The following is a 20441-nucleotide window of genomic DNA, read 5'->3' on the forward strand; positions in this document are numbered from 1 at the left end:
AAATAACCAACAGCGGTAGACAGGCTGTACTCACCTTGATGAGTACTGGGTCTCACCTTTGGTCAGAGTCAGTGCCATGCTGGCTTTAGTTGTGGTCCAGCATATTCCCAGCTGTGATGTTTAGGGTGAGAGGCTTCTTATGCTTGAGGAAAGGAGAGAAAAGATTGAAGGAGACTTTGCCTTGCAGCATAATATCAGCTAAGCCACAGTGGAGTAGAGCACCCAGTGGGATCCTGCAGTCCTCGATTCAAGGCCTTGGCTCCTGGACAGTATTTCTGAACCTGCCCTGGGCCAGAGGGGAGCCCAATTCTCTGAAGGAAGAGACATAGGCCTGGCTGCATTCATCACAGGCCAACTAAAGAGCCTCTGGGATGTGAGTGAACATCAGCAGTTGCCAGGCAGTGCTCACCGTGGGCCTGTGGTGGTGGTGGCTATGCAGAGAGACTTCTCTGCTTGAGGAAAGAATGGGAAGGACTTGGTCTTGCAGCTTGGGTGCCAGCTCAGTAATAGTAGAATAGAGTACTAGCTAGATTCCTAAGGTTCCTGACTCCAGGTCCTAGCTCCTGAACAGCACCTGTGGGTCTACCTTGGGCCAGGGAAACTTATGTCTTGAAGGGAAAGACGCAAGCCTGGCTGGATTTGCCATCTGCTTACTGTAGAGCCCATGGGCATTAAGTGAACGTAAGTGGTAGCCATGCAGTGGTCTCTGTAAGTTTTGGATGAGCCCCAGTGCTGTGATGCCTTTGAGTCTAACCTGGCACGGTCCCAGTGGTGGTGGCCACAGGGGTGTCTGTATCACCCCACAACCAAGTCCATGAAGCTCATCATGGAGAGAGAGACTTTGTTTGGGAGAAAGTAGGAGAAGAGAACAAGAGTCTCTGCCTAGCAATTGAGGGATTTCTACTGGATCTTACCCAAGACCCCAAGATGGTACCTATATGAATCTGCAAGAGCCACAGTGTTACTGGGCTTGGGGCATCCCCTAATGCAGATCTGGCAGTAGTAACCAAAGACTTAGATCACAACACCCAAATCCTTTTGAATACTTGGAAAGCTTTCTCAAGAAGGATGGGTACAAACAAGCCCAGAAGGCAAAGACTATAATAACTAACTCTTCAATGCCCAGACACCAATGAACATCCACAAACATCAAAACCATCTGGAAAAACATGACCTCACCAAATGAACTAAATAAAGCACTAGTGAACAATTTCAGAGAAACAGAGATATGTGACCTCAGACAGAGAATTCAGAATAGCTGTTCTGAGGAAACTGAATGAAATTCAAGATAACAGAGAGAAGAAATTCAGAATCCTATCAGATAACTTTAACAAAGAGATTGAAATAATTTAAAAGACTCAAGCAGAAATTCTGGAGCTGAAAAATGCAATTGACATATAGAAGAATGCGTCAGAATCTCTTAACAGCAGAATCGATCAAGAAAAAGAAATGATTCATGATCTTGAAGACAGGCTATTTGAAAATACACAGTTGGCGGAGACAAAAGAAGAAAGAATAAGAAAAATGAAGGACGCCTACAAGATCTAGAAAATAGCCTCAAAAGGGCAAATCTAAGAATTATTGGCCTTAAAAAGAAGGTAGAGGGAGAAATAAGAGTAGAAAGGTTTTTCAAAATAATAATAAAAGAGAACTTCCTGAACCTAAAGAAAGATATAAATATTTAAGTACAAAAAGATTATAAAACATCAAGCAGATTTAACCCAAACAAGACTACCCAAAGACGTTGAATAATCAAACTCCCAAAAGTCAAAGGTAAAGAAATGATCCTAAAAGCAGCAAGAGAAATCAAACAAATGATATACAAAGGAGCTCCAATATGTCTAGCAGCAAACTCCTCAGTGGAAAACTTACAGGCTAGTAGAGAGTGGCATGACTATTTCAAGTGCTGAAGGAAAAATATCTTATTCTAGAATAGTATATCTGGCAAAAGTATCCTTCAAACATGAAGGAGAAATAAAAACAAACAAAAGGGCTGGGTGCGCTGGCTCATGCCTGTAATCCCAGCACTTTGGGAGGCCAAGGTGGGTGGATCATGAGGTCAGGAGATTGAGACCATCCTGCCCAACATGGTAAAACCCCGTCTCTACTAAAAATACAAAAATTAGCTGGGTGTGGTGGTGCATACCTGTAATCCCAGCTACTCGGGAGGCTGAGGCATGAGAATCACTTGAACCCAGCAGGCGGAGGTTGCAGTGAGCTGAGATCGCGCCACTGCACTCCAGCCTGGCAACAGAGTGAGACTCTGTCTCAAAACAAACAAACAAAGAAACAAACAAACAAAAAAACCAAACAAAAGCTGAGAGATTTCATCAACACCAGACCCATCCTACAAAAAAAATGCTAAAGGGAGTTCTTCAATCTGAAAGAAAAGGACATTAATGAGCAATAAGAAATCATCTGAAGGTACAAAACTCACTAAATATATAGAAAAATAGAATATTATAACACCATAACTGTGATATATAAGATACTCATATCTTGAGTAGTAAGACTAAAAGATGAACCAATCAAAAATAATAACTACAAAAACTTTAAGAAATAGTAAAATAAAATATAATTAGAAACAACAGTGGAATGAATTTAAAGAGTTGTATCAGTTTTCTCTTTGGCTTTCTTATGCATTCATTATTAATTTGTCATCGGTTTAAAATTTGGGATTGGAGGTCAAGATGATCAATTAGAAGCAGCTGCAGTCTGTGGCACTCACAGAGAGGAATGAAAAAACAAGTGAATCCAGGATCTTCAACTGAAATATCCAGGTTCTCACATTAGAACTGACTAGGCAAACAACTCAAAGAAAAGCAGGGTGGGGTGATGGCCCACCCAGGTGTGGCACACAGCCAAAGAAACCCCCACCCCCAGCCAAGGGAAGCAGTGAGTAATTGTGCAGCCTGGCCCAGGAAACCACACTTCTCCACAGAGCTTTGCAACCCACTGATCAGGGGATCCCCTCATGAGCCCACACCACTAGGGCCTTGGGTCTGCTACACAGGGCTCTGTGAAGTCTTGGCAGAGCAACCACTCAGGCACACACAGAGACCCAGGAGTTTTATATTCTCCATCCCCAGGATCTCCAGCAAGGTGGAATATCTGTCTATACGTATCACTAGGAAGGGGACTGAATCCAGGGAGCCAAGCAGCACTCTTCTGTGGGCCCCACTTCCACATCACCTCACAAGATGAGAACCACTGGCTTGCAATTCCAGCTAGCCAATGGCAGTAGGCTGAAATCTTCCTGAGAGGTGACTGAGTTTCCAGAGAAAGGGGTGGTTACCATCTCTGAAGTTTGATAGACTCAGCCATTCCAGCCTGCCAGTGTTGGAGAACCCAAAGAGTCTGGACAAGGAAATGTTCCCCAAAAGGCAGCACAATTGCCTTGCCAGACTGGTCAGACTGATTCCTTAAGAGGGAACCCAATCCATTCCTCCTCACTGGGCAGGACTTCTCTGTGGGGGCTTCAGCCAATCCAGCCACGGATAGAGCTCTGATCTCTCCCTGTGACAGAGCTCCCAGTGGGGAGGGGCAGCTGCCATCTCTGTGGTTCAATAGATGCAGCCATTCCAGGCTTTGAAGAACCCAAATGGTCTAGACAAGGAAGGGTCCCCCCACCAACACAGGACACCTGCTCTACAAAGAAGTAGACAGACTGTGTCTTTAAGCAGGTTCCCTGATCCCATTCCTTGTGACTTGGTGAGAACTCCTAACAGGGGTCTCCTGCCACCTCTTACAGGCATGCTTGGGCTGGCAACAGGTCAGTACCCACCTGGAACAAAGTTTCCAGATGAACGATCAGGCTGCCCTCTTTGCTGTTTCCCAGGCTTCACTGGTGACATCTCCAGGTATGGGAAAAACCAAGGCAACTAGGGTCTGAAGTGGACCCCCAGAAAACCAAAGTAGTCCTATGGAAGAGTGGCGTGTTAAAACAAACAGACAAACAAACAGAAAACAAAAACAACATCAACAAAAAAATACCCCACAAAAACCTTATTCAAAGGTCAGCAACCTCAAAAACTGAAGGTAGATAAGCCCACAAAGATGAGAAAGAATCAATGCAAAAATGCTGAAAACTCAGAAATCAAGAGTGCCTCTTCTCCTCCAAATGACCACAATCCCTCTCCAGCAAGGGCATAGAACTGGGTAGAGGCTGAGGTGGCTTAATTGGCAGAAGTAGATTTCAGAAGATGGGTAATAATGAACTTCACTGAGCTAAAGGAGCATGTTGTAACCCAATGCAAAGCTAAGAATAATGATAAAGCAATACAGGAGCTCATAACCAGAATAGCCAGTTTAGAAAGAAACATAACTGACCTGATGGTGCTGAAAAACACAACATGAGAACTTTACAGTGCAATCACAAGTAGCAACAGTTTACAAGCCAGATTAGACCAAGCAGAGGAAAGACTATCAGAGCTTTGAAGACTATCTTTCTGAAATAAGACAAGCAGACAAGAATGGAGAAAAAAATAAAAAGGAATGAACAAAATCTCTGAGAAATATGGGATTATGTAAAGGGACCAAACCTACAATTGATTGGAGCACCTGAAAGAGATAGGGAGAATGGAACAAAATTGGAAACATACTTTAGGATATCATCTAGGAGAAGTTCCCCAATGTAGCAAGACAGGCCAACATTCAAATTGAGGAACTGCAGAGAACCCCAGTAAGAAACCCATGAGAAGGTCAACCCCAAAACACATAATTATCAGATCCTCCAAGGTGGAAATGAGAGAAAAAAAAATGTTAAGGGCAGCCAGAGAGAAAGGCCAGGTCACCTACAAAGGGAAGCCCATCAGACTAACAGCAGACTTCCCAGCAGAAACCCTACAAGCCAGAAGAGATTGGGGGTCAATATTCAACATTCTTAAAGAAAAGAATTTCCAACCCAGAATTTCATATCCAGTCAAACCTAAGCTTCATAAGTGAGGGAGAAATAAGATCCTTTTCAGACAAGCAAATGCTGAGAGAATTCATCACCACCAGGCCAGGCTTGTAAGAGCTCCTGAAAGAAACACTAAATAAGAAAGGAAAAACTGTTACCACCCACTACAAAAACAGGCTGAATTCCACAGACCAGTGACACTATGAAGCAACCAAATAAACAAGTCTGCAAACTAACTGGCCACCATCACAATGATGGATCAAATTCACACATCACAATACTAATCTTAAATGTAAATGGGCTAAATGCCCCAATTTAAAGACACAGAATGGCAAGCTGGATAAAGAGCCAAGAGCCATCAGTATGCTGTCTTTAAGAGACCCATCTCACCTGCAAAGATGCACATAGGTTCAAAATAAAGGGATGAAGGAAATTTTACCAAGAAAATGGAAAATGGAAAAAAGCATGGGGTGCAATCCTAGTTTCTGACAAAACAGAATTTAAACCAACAAAGGTGAAAAAAAGACAAAGAAGGGCATTATGTAATGGTAAAGGGCTCAATTCAACAAGAAGAGCTATCTTAAATATATATGCACCCAATACAGGAGCACCCACACTCATAAAGCAAGTTCTTAGAAACCTTCAAAGAGACTTAGAGTCCCTTACAATACAATAATAGTGGAAGAGTTTAACACTCCACTGACAATATTAGATACATCATCGAGATAAAAAATTAAGATACTCAAGACCTGAACTCAGCTCTGGCTCAAGTGGACTTGATAGATATCTACAGGACTTTTCACCCAAAACAAGAGAATATGCATTCTTCTCATTGCCACATGGCACTTACTCCAAATTCATCACATAATTGCAAGTAAAACACTCCTCACCAAATGCAAAAGAACTGAAATTATAACAAACAGTCTCTCAGACCACAGCACAATCAAATTAGAACTCAAGATTAAGAATTTACTCAATGCAACTACATGGAAATTGAACAACCTGCTCCTGAATGACTCCTGGGTAGATAATGAAATTAAGGCAGAAATCAAGAAGTTCTTTAAAACTACTAATAACAAACAGACAATGTACCAGAATCTCTGGGACACAGTTAAAGCAGTGTTAAGTGGGACATTTATAGCACTAAATGCCCACATCAAAAAGCTAGAAAGATCTCAAATTGACATCCTAACATCACAACTAAAAGAACTAGAGAACCAAGAGCAATCAAACCCCAAAACTAGCAGAACACAAGAAATAACCAAGATCAGAGCTGAACTAAACTGAAGGAGATAAAGACAAAAAAAAATACTTTCAAGAAAAATTAATGAATCAATCCAGGAGCCAGTGTTTTGAAAAAAATTAATAAAATAGATAGACAGCTAGCTAGTCTAATAAAGAGGAAAAGAGAGAAGAATCAAATAAACACAATCAGAAATGACAAGGTGGATATCACCACTGATGCCACAGGAACACAAACAACCATCAGAGAATATTATAAACACCTTTATGCATATGAACTAGAAAATCTAGAAGAAATGGATAAATTTCTGGACACATACATCCTCCCAAAACTGAACTGGAAAGAAATTGAATCCCTGAATAGACCAATAATGAGTTCTGAAATTTAGGCAGTAATAAATAGCCTACCAATAAATAAAAGCCTAGGACCAGAGAGATATACAGCTACATTCTACCAGAGATACAAAGAAGAGCTGGAGCCATTTCTACTGAAACTATTCCAAAAAAATTGGAAAAAAAGGGACTCCTCCTTAACTCATTCTATGAGGCCAGCATTATCCTGAGACTGACATCTGGCAGAGATACAACAAAAAAAGGAAACTTCAAGCCAATAACCTTGATAAACCTCAATGCAAAAATTATCAACAAAATATTGGCAAACCAAATCCTGCAGCACATCAAAAAGCTTAGCCACCACGACCAAGTTGCCTTCATCCCTGGGATACAAGGTTGGTTCAGCATATGCATATCAATAAATGTGATTCATCACAAAAACAAAACCAAAGACAAAAAACACATGATTATCTCAATAGACACAGAATAGGCCTTTGATAAAATTCACATTCCTTCATGTTAAAAACTCTCAAACTAGGTATTGAATAAACATACTTCAAAATAATAAGAGCCATCTATGACAAACCCATAGCCAATATCATACTGAATGGGCAAAAGCTGGAAGCATTCCACTTGAAAACCGGCACAAGAAAAGGATGCCCACTTTCATCACTCCTATTCAACATAGTATTAGAAATTCTGGCCAGGCAAATCAGGCAAGAGAAAGAAAGACAGGGTATTCAAATAGGAAGAAAGGAAGTCAGATTATCTTTGTTTTTTTGAAGATGACCTAATCCTGTATCTAGAAGACCCCACTGTCTCAGCCCAAATGCTCCTTAAACTGATATCAACTTCAGCACAGTCTCAGGATACAAAATCAATGTGCAAAAATTGCTGGTATTCCTATGCACCAAAAACAGGCAAAGAGCCAAATCATGAATGAACTTCCATTCACAACTGCCACAAAAAAATAAAATACCTAGAAATACAGCTAACAAGGGATGTGAAGGACCTATTTAAGGGATCTACAAATCACTGCTCAAAGAAATCAGAGGACACAAATAAATGGACAAACATTCCATGCTCGTGGATAGGAAGAATCAATATTATGAAAATGGTGATACTGTCTAAAACAATTTATAGATTCAATGCTATTCCCACTAAACTACCATTGACATTCTTCACAGAATTAGAAAAAAAACTATTTTAAACTTCATATGAAACCAAAAAAGAGCCTAAATAGCCAAGGCAATCCTAAGCAAAAAGAACAAAGCTGGAAGTATCATACTACCCGACTTCAAACTATACTACAAGGCTACAATAACCAAAACAGCATGGTGCTGGTACAAGAACAGACACATAGACCAATGGAACAGAATAGAGGACTCAGAAATCAGACCACACACCTAAAACCATCTGATCTTTGACAAAACTGACAAAAGCAAGCAATGAGGAAAGGAGTCTCTATTCAATAAATGGTGCTGAGAGAACTGGCTAGCTATATGCAGAAAATTGAAACTGGACCCCTTTCTTACACCATATACAAAAATTAACTCAACATGAATTAAAGACTTAAATGTAAAACCCAAAACTATAAAAACTCCAGAAGAAAATCTAGGCAATACAATTTAGGACATAGGCAATACCATTTAGGACATAGGCATGGGTAAATATTTCATGAGGAAAATGCCAAAAGCAATTGCAATAAAAGCAAAAATTGGCAAATGGAATATAATTAAACTAAAGAGCTTCTGCACAGCAAAAGAAACTATCATCAGAGTGAACAAACAACCTACAGAATGGGAGAAAAATTTTGTAATCTATCCATTTGACAAAGGCCTAATATCCAGAGTCTACAAGTACCTTAAATTGACAAGAAAAAAACCAAACAACCCCATTAAAAAGTGGGCAACAGACATGAACAGACACCTCTCAAAAGAAGACATACATGTGGCCAAAAAACACATGAAAAAAAGCTCAATATCACTGATCATTAGAGAAATGCAAATCAAAACCACAATGAGATACATCTTATGCAAGTCAGAATGGCTATTAAAAGGTCAAAATACAACAGATGCTGATGAGGTTGCAGAGAAAAGAGAATGCTTTTGCACTGTTAGTGTGAGTGGAAATTAGTTCAACCATTGTGGAAGAGTGTGGGGATTTCCCAAGGACCTAGAAGCAGAAATACCATTTGACCTAGCAATTTTATTACTGGGTATATACCCAAAGGAATATAAATCATTCTTTAATAAGATACATGCATCCATATGTTCTTTGCAGCACTATTCACAATAGCAAAGACATAGAATTAACCTAAATGCCCACCAATGACAGACTGGATATAGAAAATGTGATACATATACACCATGGAATACTATACAGCCATAAAAAGAATGAGATCATGTCCTCTGTAGGGACATGGATGGAGCTGGAAGACATTATCCTCAGCAAACTAACTCAGGGACAGAAAACCAAATACTGCATGTTTTCATTTATAAGTGAGAGATGAATGATGAAAACACATCAACACAAGGGGTAACAACACAAACTGGGTCCTGTCAGGGATGGATATCCTCAGGAAGAATAGCTAATGGATGCTGGGCTTAATACCTAGGTGAGGGGATGATCTGTGTAGCAAACCACCATGGCACATGTTTACCTATGTAACAAACCCACACATCCCGCAAATGCACCCCTGAACTTAAAAGCTGAGGGGAAACAATTGGGTTATAAGATATTATTTGCAAGCATCATAGTAACTTCTAGTCAAAAGACATACAACAGATACACAGAAAATGTAAAGCAAGAAATTAAAACAGGCCATCAGAGAAAATCACCTTCACTAAAAAGAAGACAGGAAGAAAGAAGGAAGACAAGACCACAAAACATCCAGAAAACAGATAACAAAGTGGCAGAAGTAAGTTCCTACTTACCAATAAGAACATTGGCGGTAAATGGACTAAACTCTCCAATCAAAAGACAGAGTGCCTGAATGGAATCTTTTAAAAGCAAGACCTAACAATCTGTTGCCTAGAAGAAACACATTTTACATATAAAGACACACATAGACTAAAATATAAAGGGATGGAAAAAGATATTTCATGCCAATGGAAACCAAAACAGAAAAGGAATAGCTACACTTATATCAGAGAAAATAGATTTCAGGACAAAAACTGTAAAAAGTTACAAAGAAGGTTATAATATAATGATAAAGAGGTCAATTTAGAAAGATGATATAACAATTGTAACTATATATGCACCCAACACTAAAGCACCCAGACATAGAAACTGGGTATAGAAGGAACATACCTCAACATAGTAAAAGCCATATACAACAGACCTATAACTAGTATCATACTGAATAAGGAAAAACCAAAAGAATTTCTTTTAAGATCTAAAGCAAGACAAGGATGCCCACTTTCGCCTCTGTTATTCAACACAGCACTAAAAGTCTTAGCTGGAGCAATCAGACAAGAGAAAGAAATAAAGAGCATCCAAATTGAAAAGGAAGAAGTAAAACTATCCTTGTTTGTAGATGATATAATCTTATATTTGAAAAAACCTAAAGAGTCCACAAAAAAACTGTTAGATCTCATAAACAAATTTAGTAAAATTCTAGGATACAAAATCAATATATAAAAATCCGCAGCATTTCTATATGCCAACAGCGAACAATCTGAAAAAGAAATCAATAAAGTAATTCCATTTACAATAGCTATAAATGAAATTAAATACATAGGAAGTAACTTAACCAAAGAAGTAAAAGAGCTCTATAATGAAAACTACAAAACATTTATTGAAGAAAGTGAAGAGGAGACAAAAGATGGAAAGGTATTCCATATTCATGAACTGAAAGAGTCAATATATTGTTAAAATGTCCATACTTCCCAAAGCAATCTACAGATCTAATGCAACCCTTATCAAGATACCAATAACATTTTTCACAGAAATAGAAAAAGAATCATCCAAAAATTTATATGAAACCAAAAAAGACCCAGAATAGCCAAAGCTGTCCTGAGCAAAATGAACAAAACTAGAAAAATCATATTGCCTGATTTCAAATTGTAACACAGAGCTATAGTAACCAAAACAGTATGGTACTGACATAAAACAGAGACCAATGAAACAGAAAATAATCCACATACTTACAGTGAACTCACTTTCAAAAAAGGTGCCAAGAATGTACACTGGAGAAAAGACAGTCTTTTCAATAAATGGTGCCAGAAAACTGAATATCTTTATGCAGAAAAATGAAACTAGACCCCTATCTCTCGCCATATAGAAAAATCAAATTAAAATCAATTAGAGACTTAAATCTAAGACATCAAACTATGAAACTCCTACAAGACAACATTGGGGAAGCTCTCCAGGACATTGTTCTGGGCAAAAATTTCTTAAGGAATACCCCACAAGCAGAGGAAACCAAGGCAAAACTGAACAAATGGGATCACATCAAGTTATAAACCTTCTGCACACCAAAGGAAACAATTAACAAAGTGAAGAGATAACCCACAGAATAAGAGAGAATATTTGCAAATTATTTATCTGATAAGGGATTAATAACCAGAATATATAAGGAGCTCAAACAACATCTATAGGAAAACATCTAATACTGCTATTTAAAAATGGGCAAAAGGGGATCATGGCAGATGGGAGGCAAAACTAAACTGTAGCTCCACTCAGACGAACAGAGGAGCTTGTGGAGTCTCACATTATGAACTCTTACTCCAGAACCACCGCACAAGTAAGTCAGGAAAGCTGAGGGAACCCACATATCCACGGAAGAAAGCAGATTGCTCCTGCAGGACCCAGGAGACAGCCCAAATGCTATGCTGTTATCCATGGCTGAGAGACCCACAGACGGTTCACATCACAGGACTCTGTGCAGACAACCCCCAGTAGCAACCCGGAGCCTGGTAAACCTGCTGGGTGGCTAGATTTAAAAGAGAGATAACAATCACTACAGCTTGGCTCTCAGGAAGCCACATCCCTAGGAAAATGGGCAGAGTACTACATCAAGGGAACACCGTGTGGGACAAAAGAATTTGAACAACAGCCTTGAGCCCTAGACATTCCCTCTGACAGAGCCCACCCAAATAAGAAGGAACAGAAAACCAACTCTGGTAATATGACAAAACAAGGCTCATTAACACCCCCCAAAAATCACACTAGCTCACTGGCAACGGATCCAAACCAAGAAAAAAATCCCTGATTTACCTGAAAAAGAATTGAGAAGGGCAGTTATTAAGCTAATCAAGGAGGCACCAGAGAAAGACAAAGCCCAATTTAAGGAAGTTGAAAAAAATGATACAAGAAATGAAGGGAGAAATCTTCAATGAAATAAATAACATAGATAAAAAGCAATCAAAACTTCAGAAAAAATGGATGCACTTATTGCAATGCAAAATGCTCTGGAAAGCCTCAGCAATAGAATCAAACAAGCAGAAGAAAGAACTTAAGAACTCAAAAACAAAGTTTTCAAATTAACCCAATCCAACAAAGACAAAGGAAAAAAAATAAGAAAATACCAACAAAGCCTCCAAGAAGTCTAGCATTATGTTAACCTAACAAGAATTATTATTCTTAGGAAGAAGAGAAATATTCCTGAGAAAGAAGAGAAATCTGAAAGTTTGGAAAACATATTTGGGGAAATAATCAAGAAAAACTTCCCTGGCCTTGCTAGAGATCTAGATATCTAACTACAAGAAGCTCAAAGAACACCTGGAAAATTCACCGCAAAGAGATCATTGCCTAGGCACAATGTCATCAGGTTATCTAAAGTTGAGAGAAAGAAAGGAATCTTAAGAGCTGTGAGGCAAAAGCACTGGAAAACCTATCAGATTAACAGCAGATTTCTCAGCAGAAATCCTACAAGTCAGAAAGGAATGGGGCATGATCAGCTTCCTTAAACAAAACAGATATCAGCCAAGAATTTTGTATCCAGTGACACTAACCTTCATTAATGAAGAAAAGATACAGTCTTTTTCAGACAAATGCTGAAAGAATTCACCACTACCAAGCCAGCACTACAAGAACTGCTAAAAGGAGCTCTAAATCTTGAAACAAATCCTGGAAACACATCAAAACAGAGCCTTTTTAAAGCATAAATCTCAAAGAAACCATTAAAAAATACAATAAATGTATTCCAATGAATGGAATAGTACCTTCCATCTCACTACTAACATTGAATGTAAATGGCCTAAATGCTCCACCTAAAAAATACATAATTGGGCTGGGTGCGGTGGCTCACGCCTGTAATCCTAGCACTTTGGGAGGCTGAGGCGGGCAGATCATGAGGTCAGGAGATCAAGACCAACTTGGCTAACACAGTGAAACCCTGTCTCTACTAAAAATACAGAAAATTAGCTGGGCATTGTGGCGGGCGCCTGTAGTCCCATCTACTCGGGAGGCTGAGGCAGCAGAATGGTGTGAACCCAGGAGGCGGAGCTTGCAGTGAGCCGAGATCGTGCCACTGCACTCCAGCCTGGGCAACAGAGCAAGACTCTGTCTCAAAAAAAAAAATACAGAATTGCAGAATGGATAAGAATTCACCAACCAAATATCTACTGCCTTCAAGAGACTCACCTAACACAAAAGGACTCACATAAACTTAAGGTAAAGGAGTGGAAAAAGATAGTCCATGCAAATGGACATAAAAAATGAGCAGGAGTAGCTATTCTTATATCAGACAAAACAAACTTTAAAGCAACAGCAGTTAAAGACAAAGAGGGACATTATGTAATGGTAAAAGGCCTTGTTCAACCGGAAAATACCACAATCCTAAATATATATGCACCTAACACTGGAGCTCCAAAATTTATAAAACAATTACTACTAGACCTAAGAAATGAGATAGACAGCAACACAATAATAGTGGGGGACTTCAATACTCCACTGACAGCAGTAGACAGGTCATCAAGACAGAAAGTCAAAAAAGAAACAATGGACTTAAACTATACCCTAGAACAAATGGACTTAACAGATATTTATACAACATTTTAACGAAAAACCATAGAATATATATTCTATTCGTCAGTACATGGAACTTTCTCCAAGACAGACCATATAATAGGCCACAAAATGAGCCTCAATAAATTTAAGAAAATTAAAATTATATCCAGCACTCTCTCAGACCACAGTGGAAGAAAACTGCAAATCAACTCCAAAAGGAACCTTCAAAACCATGCAAATACATTGAAATTAAATAAACTGCTCCTAAATGATCATTGGATCAAAAATGAAATCAAGATGGAAATTTAAAAATTTCTTTGATCTGACTGAATGACAATAGTAACACAACCTATCAAAACCTCTGGGATACAGCAAAGGCAGTGCTAAGAGGAAAGTTCATAGCCCTAAATGCCTTCAAGAGACACAAAAAGTCTGAAAGAGCACAAATAGACAATCTAAGGTTACACCTCAAGAAACTAGAGAAACAAGAACAAATCAAACCCAAACCCAGCAGAAGAAAGGAAATAACACAGATCAGAGCAGAACTAAATGAAATTGAAACAAAAAACTTACAAAAGATAAATAAAACAAAAAGCTGGTGCTTGGAAAAGATAAATAAAATTGATGGACCATTAGCAAGATTAACCAAGAAAAGAAGAGAGAAACTCCAAATAAGCTCAATAAGAAATGAAATAGGAGATATTACAACTGACACTACTGAAGTACAAAAGATCATTCAGGGCTACTATGAACACCTTTACACACATAAACTAGAAAACCTAAAGGAGATGGATAAGTTTCTGGAAAGCTACAACCCTCCTGAATCAGTAAGAATTAGATACTGTGAACAGACCAATAACAAGCAGGGAGATTGAAACAGTAATTTTAAAATTACCAACAAAAAAAGTCCAGCACCAGACAGACTCATGGCTGAATTCTATCAGACATTCAAAGAAGAATTGGTACGAATCCTATTGACACTATTCCATAAGATAAAGAGGGAATCCTCCCTAAATCATTCTATGAAGCCAGTATTATCCCAATACCAAAACCAGGAAAGGACTTAACCAAAAAAAGAAAACTATAGCCCAATATCCCTGATGAACATAGATGCAAACATCCTTAACAAAATACTAGCTAACCGAATCCAACAACATATCAAAAAGATAATCCACCATGATCAAATGGGTTCCATACCAGGGATGCCGAGATGATTTAACACATGCAAGTTAATAAATGTGATATACCACATAAGCAGAATTAAAAACAAAAATCACATGAACATCTCAATAAGTGCAGAAAAAGCATTCAACAAAATCCACCACGCTTTTATGATTAAAACTCAGCAAAATCAGCATATTAAGGGACATATCTCAATGTAATAAAAGCCATCTATGACAAACCTACAGCCAATATAATACTGAATGGGAAAAAGTTGAAAGCGTTCCCTCTGGGAAGTGGAATAGGACAAGGATGCCCACTCTCACCACTTCTATTCAACACAGTACTGGAAGTCCTAGCCAGAGCCATCAGACAAGAGAAAGAAAGGGCACCCAAACCAATAAAGAGGAAGTCAAACTGTTGCTGCTTGCTGATGATATGATTCTATACCTAGAAACCCTAAAGACTCCTCCAAAAAGCTCCTAGAGCTGATTTAAAAAAAATTCAGCAAAGTTTTTGGATGCAAAATTAACATACACAAATTGGTAGCTCTCTTATAAGCAAATGGTGATCAAGTGGAGAATGAAATCAAGAACTCAACCCCTTTTATAATGGCTACAAAAAATAAAACAAAATACTTAGGAATATACCTAACCTAGGAGGTGAAAGACCTCTACAAGGAAAACTACAAGACACTGCTGAAAGAAATCATAGACAACACAAACAAATGCAAACACATTCCATGCTCATGGATGGGTAGAATCAATATTGTGAAAATGACCATACTGCCAAAAGCAATCCACAAATTCAACACAATTCCCACCAAAATACCACCATCATTCTTCACAGAACTAGAAAAAATAATCCTAAAATTCATTTGGAACCAAAAAAGAGCCTGCATCATCAAAGTAAGACTAAGCAAAAAGAACAAATCTGGAAGGATCACATTACCCGACTTCAAACTACACCATAAGGCCATGTCACCAAAACAGCATGGTACTGGTATAAAAATAGGCACACAGACCAATGGAATAGAATAGAGAATGCAGAAACAAAGCCAAATACTTACAGCCAACTGATATTTGACAAAGCAAACAAAAACAAAGTGGGGAAAGAACACCTTATTCAACACATGGTGCTGGGATAATTGGCAAGCCACATGTAGAAGAATGAAACTTGATCATCTCTCACCTTTTGCAAAAGTCAACTGAAGATGGATCACAGACTTAAATCTAAGACATAAAACTGTAAAAATTCTAGAAGATAGCATCAGAAAAACCCTTCTAGACATTGGCTTAGGCAAGGATTTAATGACCAAGATCCCAAAAGCAAACGCAATAAAAACAAACATAAATAGCTGTGACTTAATTAAACTAAAGAGCTTTTGCATGGCAAAAGGAACCATCAGCAGAGTAACAGACAACTCACAGATGGGGAGAAAATCTTCACAATCTATACGTCCAACAAAGAACTAATATCCAGAATCTACAATGAACTCAAATTAGCAAGAAAAAAAAAATCATCAAAAAGTGGGCTAAGGACATGAATAGACAATTCTCAAAAGAAGATTTACAAACTACCAACAAACATATGAAAAAAAATGCTCAACATCACTAATGATCAGGGAAATGCAAATCAAAACCACAATGCTATACCACCTTACTCTTGCAAGAATGGCCATAATAAAAAAATAATAGATGCTGGCTTGGATGCAGTCAACAGGAAACACTTCTACACTGCTGGTGGGAATTTAAACTAGCACAAAATCACTATGGAAAACAGTGTGGAGATTCCTTAAAGAACTAAAAGTAGAACTACTACAAAAGCAATCCCACTACTGGGTATCTACCCAGAGGAAAATAAGTATAAGGAAAATTTCGTATAAGGAAAATTATACGAAAAAGATATTTGCATATGCATGTTTACAGCAGCACAATTCACAATAGCAAAAGTGTGAAACCAACCCAAATGCCTATCAATCAATGAGTGGATGAAGAAACTGTGGTATATATATATATATATATATATATATATATATATATATATATATATATATATATGACGAAATACTACTCAGTCATAAAAGGAATGAATTAATAGCATTTGCAGCAACCTGGATGAAACTGGAGAATATTATTCTAAGTGAAGTGACTCAGAAATGGAAAACCAAACATTGTATGTTCTCACTGATAAGTGGGAGCTAAGCTATGAGGATGCAAAAGGCATAAAAATGACACAATGGACTTTGGGGACTCAGAGGAAAAAGGTGGGAAGGGGATGAGGGATAAAAGATTACCAACTGCATGTACTGTATTCTTTTCGGGTGATGGGTGAAACAAAATCTCACAAATCACCACTAAAGAACTTACTCATGTAACCAAACACCACCTGTTCCCCAATAACCTGTGAAAATAAAAAAATTAAAAATTAAATAAAATTAACAAAATTTTAAAAATAAATAAATAAAATGGGCAAAAGATCTGAATAGACATTTCTCAAACGACATATAAATGGCAAACAGGTATATGGAAGGGTGCTCCACATCATTGATCATCAGAGAAATGCAAATCAAAAGTACAATGATATATCATCTCACCTCAGGTAAAAATGCTTTTATCCAAAAGACAGACAATAACAAATGCTGGCGAGGATGTGGAGAAAAGGTAATCCTTATACATTGTTGGAGGAAATGTAAATTAATACAACCACTATGAAGAAAAGTTTAGAGATTCCTCAAAAAACTAAAAATAGAGCTACCATATGATCCAGCAATCCCACTGCTAGGTATATACCCCAAAGAAAGGAAATCAGTATATTTAAGAGACATCTCACTCTCATATTTGTCGCAGCACTATTCACAATAGCCAAGATTTAGAAGCAAACTAAGTGTCCATCAACAGATGAAGGGATATAGAAAATAAGGTACATATACAAAATGCAGTACTATTCAGCCATAAAAATAATGAGATCCTGTCTTTTGCAACAATACGGAAGGTACTGGAAGCCAATATGTTAAGTGAAATTCGCCAAGCACAGAAAGACAAACTTCTCATTTTCTCACTTATTCAAAAGAGCTAAAAATTAAAAACAATTGACTCATGGAGATAGAGAGTAGAAAGAAGGTTACCAGGGTCTGGGAAGGGTAGTGGAGTGGGGGGAAATGGGGATGATTAATGGACACAAAAATATAGGTAGGTAGAATGAATAATATCTACTCTTTGATAGCATAATAGGGTGATCACAGTCCATAATAATTTATTGTACATTTAAAAATAACTTAAAAAGTATGATTGGAGTCCTTGCTTGTAACACAAAGAAAGGATAAATACTTGAGGTGATGGATACTCCATTTATCCTATTATTATTATGTACTGTCCTATTATTATTATGCACTGTATGTATCAAAATATCTCATGTACCCCATGAATGTATACATCTATTATGTACCCACAAAAATTAAAGACAAAAAAAAAGAAGTAATGGAAGCCAGGGGGAAATGGAATGACATATGCAGAGTGCTGAAAAAAAATAACTGTCAACCAAGAACTTTATGTCCATCAAAACTTTCCTTCAAAAATGAAGGAAAAATTAAGACATCCAAAATAAGCAAAACCTGAATTTATTGTAAGCAGGTCAGCCATAAAAAAATACTAAAGGGAATTCTTCAGGCTGATAAAAAAAGGATACCAAACAGTAACTTAAATCCAAATATTTAAAGAAAAATTAACACCAATCCTTCACAAACCCTTCAAAAAATTAAAGGAAGATAAACACTTGATAACTCATTTTATGAGGTCAGCATTATCTTGATACCAAACCAAAGACATCACAAGAAAGTAAAACTGCAGACCAATAACCTTTATGAATATAAATATAAAATTTCTCAACAGACTCAGTCCAAAAAATTCCTTAAGCTGATATACTTCAGCAAAGTCTCAGGATACAAAATCAATGCACAAAAATCACAAGCATTCCTATATACCAATAATAGAAAAGCAGAGAGCCAAATCATGAGTGAACTCCCATTCACAATTGCTACAAAGAAAATAAAATACGGTCGGCTGGGCGCGGTGGCTCACGCCTGTAATCCCAGCACTTTGGGAGGCTGAGGCGGGCGGATCACGAGGTCAGGAGATCGAGACCATCCCGGCTAAAACGGTGAAACCCCGTCTCTACTAAAAATACAAAAAAAAAAAAAAAAAATTAGCCGGGCGTAGTGGCGGGCGCCTGTAGTCCCAGCTACTTGGGAGGCTGAGGCAGGAAAATGGCGTGAACCCGGGAGGCGGAGCTTGCAGTGAGCCGAGATCCCGCCACTGCACTCCAGCCTGGGCGACAGAGAGAGACTCCGTCTCAAAAAAAAAAAAAAAAAAAGAAAAAAAAAAGAAAATAAAATACGTAGGAATACAACTTACAATGGACGTGAAGGACCTCTTCAAGGAGAACTTCAATCCACTGCTCAAGGAAATAAGAGAGGACACAAACAAATGAAAAAACAATCCATGCTCATGGATAGGAAGAATATCATGAAAATGCCCATACCCCCCAAAGTAATTTGTAGATTCAATGCTATCCCCATCACGCTACCATTGACTTTCTTCACAGAACTAGAAAAAAACTACTTTAAATTTCATATGGAACCAAAAAGCCCATATAGCCGAGACAATCCTAAGCAAAAAGAACAAATCTGGAGGCATCATGCTACCTGACTTCAAACTACACTACAAGGCTACAGGAACCAAAACAGCATGGTACTGGTAGCAAAACAGATATATAGACCAATGGAACAGAACAGAGACCCCAGAAATAACATCACACATCTACAACCACCTGATCTTCAACAAACCTGGCAAAAACAAGCAATGGGGAAAGGATTCCCTATTTAATAAATGGTTCTGGGAAAATTGGCTTGCCATATGTAGAAAACAGAACCTGGACCCCTTCCTTACACCTTCTACAAAAATTAACATGAGATGGATTAAAGACTTAAACATAAAACCTAAAACCATAAAAACCCTAGAAGAAAACCTAGGCAGTACCATTCAGGACATAGGCATGGGCAAAGACCCATGACTAAAACACCAAAAGCAATTGCAACAAAAGCCAAAATTGACAAATGGGATCTAATTAAACTAAAGAGTTTCTGCTCAGCAAAAGAAACTAGCATTAGAGTGAACAGGCAACCTACAGAATGGGAGAAAATTTTTGCAATCTATCCATCTGACAAAGGTCTAATATCCAGAGTCTACAAGGAACTTAAACAAATTTACAAGAAGAAAACAACCCCATCAAAAAGTGGGCAAAGGATATGAACAGACACTTCCCAAAAGAAGACATTTATGCGGCCAACAAACATATGAAAAAAAGGTCATTATCACTGGTCATTAGAGTAATGCAAATCAAGACCATAATGAGATACCATCTCATACCAATTAGAACGGCGATCATTAAGAAGTCTGGAAACAATAGATCCTGGTGAGGATGTGGAGAAACAGGAGCGCTTTTACACTGTTGGTAGGAGTGTAAATTACTTCAACCATTGTGGAAGAAAGTGTGGCAATTCCTCAAGGATCTAGAATCAAATACCATTTGACCCAGCAATCCCATTACTGGGTATATACCCAAAGGATTATAAATCATTCTACTATAAAGAACATGCACACGTATGTTTATTGCAGCACTATTTACAATAGCAAAGACTTGGAGCCAACCCAAATGCCCATCAATGACAGACTGGATAAAGAAAATGTGGCACATATACAATATGGAATACTATGCAGCCATTAAAAAGAAGGAGTTCATGTCCTTTGCAGGGACATGGATGAACCTGGAAACCATCATCGTCAGCAAATTA

The 20441-nt window shown here is 38.1% G+C and overlaps 1 long non-coding RNA gene across 3 annotated transcripts in view; it reads right to left on the reverse strand.

The window, feature by feature from the left end:
* Window positions 1–20441, reverse strand: part of LOC102724068 (uncharacterized) — a 96106-nt gene that overhangs the window by 71014 nt on the left and 4651 nt on the right. Inside the window, exons 2-3 of one of the 3 annotated variants that reach the window (XR_001740935.3) lie at window positions 3785–3920; window positions 57–142 (exon numbers count right to left, since the gene is read on the reverse strand). The exons of 1 other annotated variant lie outside the window; for it this stretch is intronic. This is a non-coding gene — a long non-coding RNA (uncharacterized LOC102724068). Of the gene's footprint in view, window positions 1–34; window positions 143–3784; window positions 3921–20441 lie in introns of all 3 variants that reach the window. One more of the 3 variants, XR_001740934.3, reaches the window with a different exon arrangement.

The sequence above is a fragment of the Homo sapiens genome, chromosome 3, assembly GCF_000001405.40.
Source record: "Homo sapiens chromosome 3, GRCh38.p14 Primary Assembly".
NCBI lineage: Eukaryota > Metazoa > Chordata > Mammalia > Primates > Hominidae > Homo > Homo sapiens.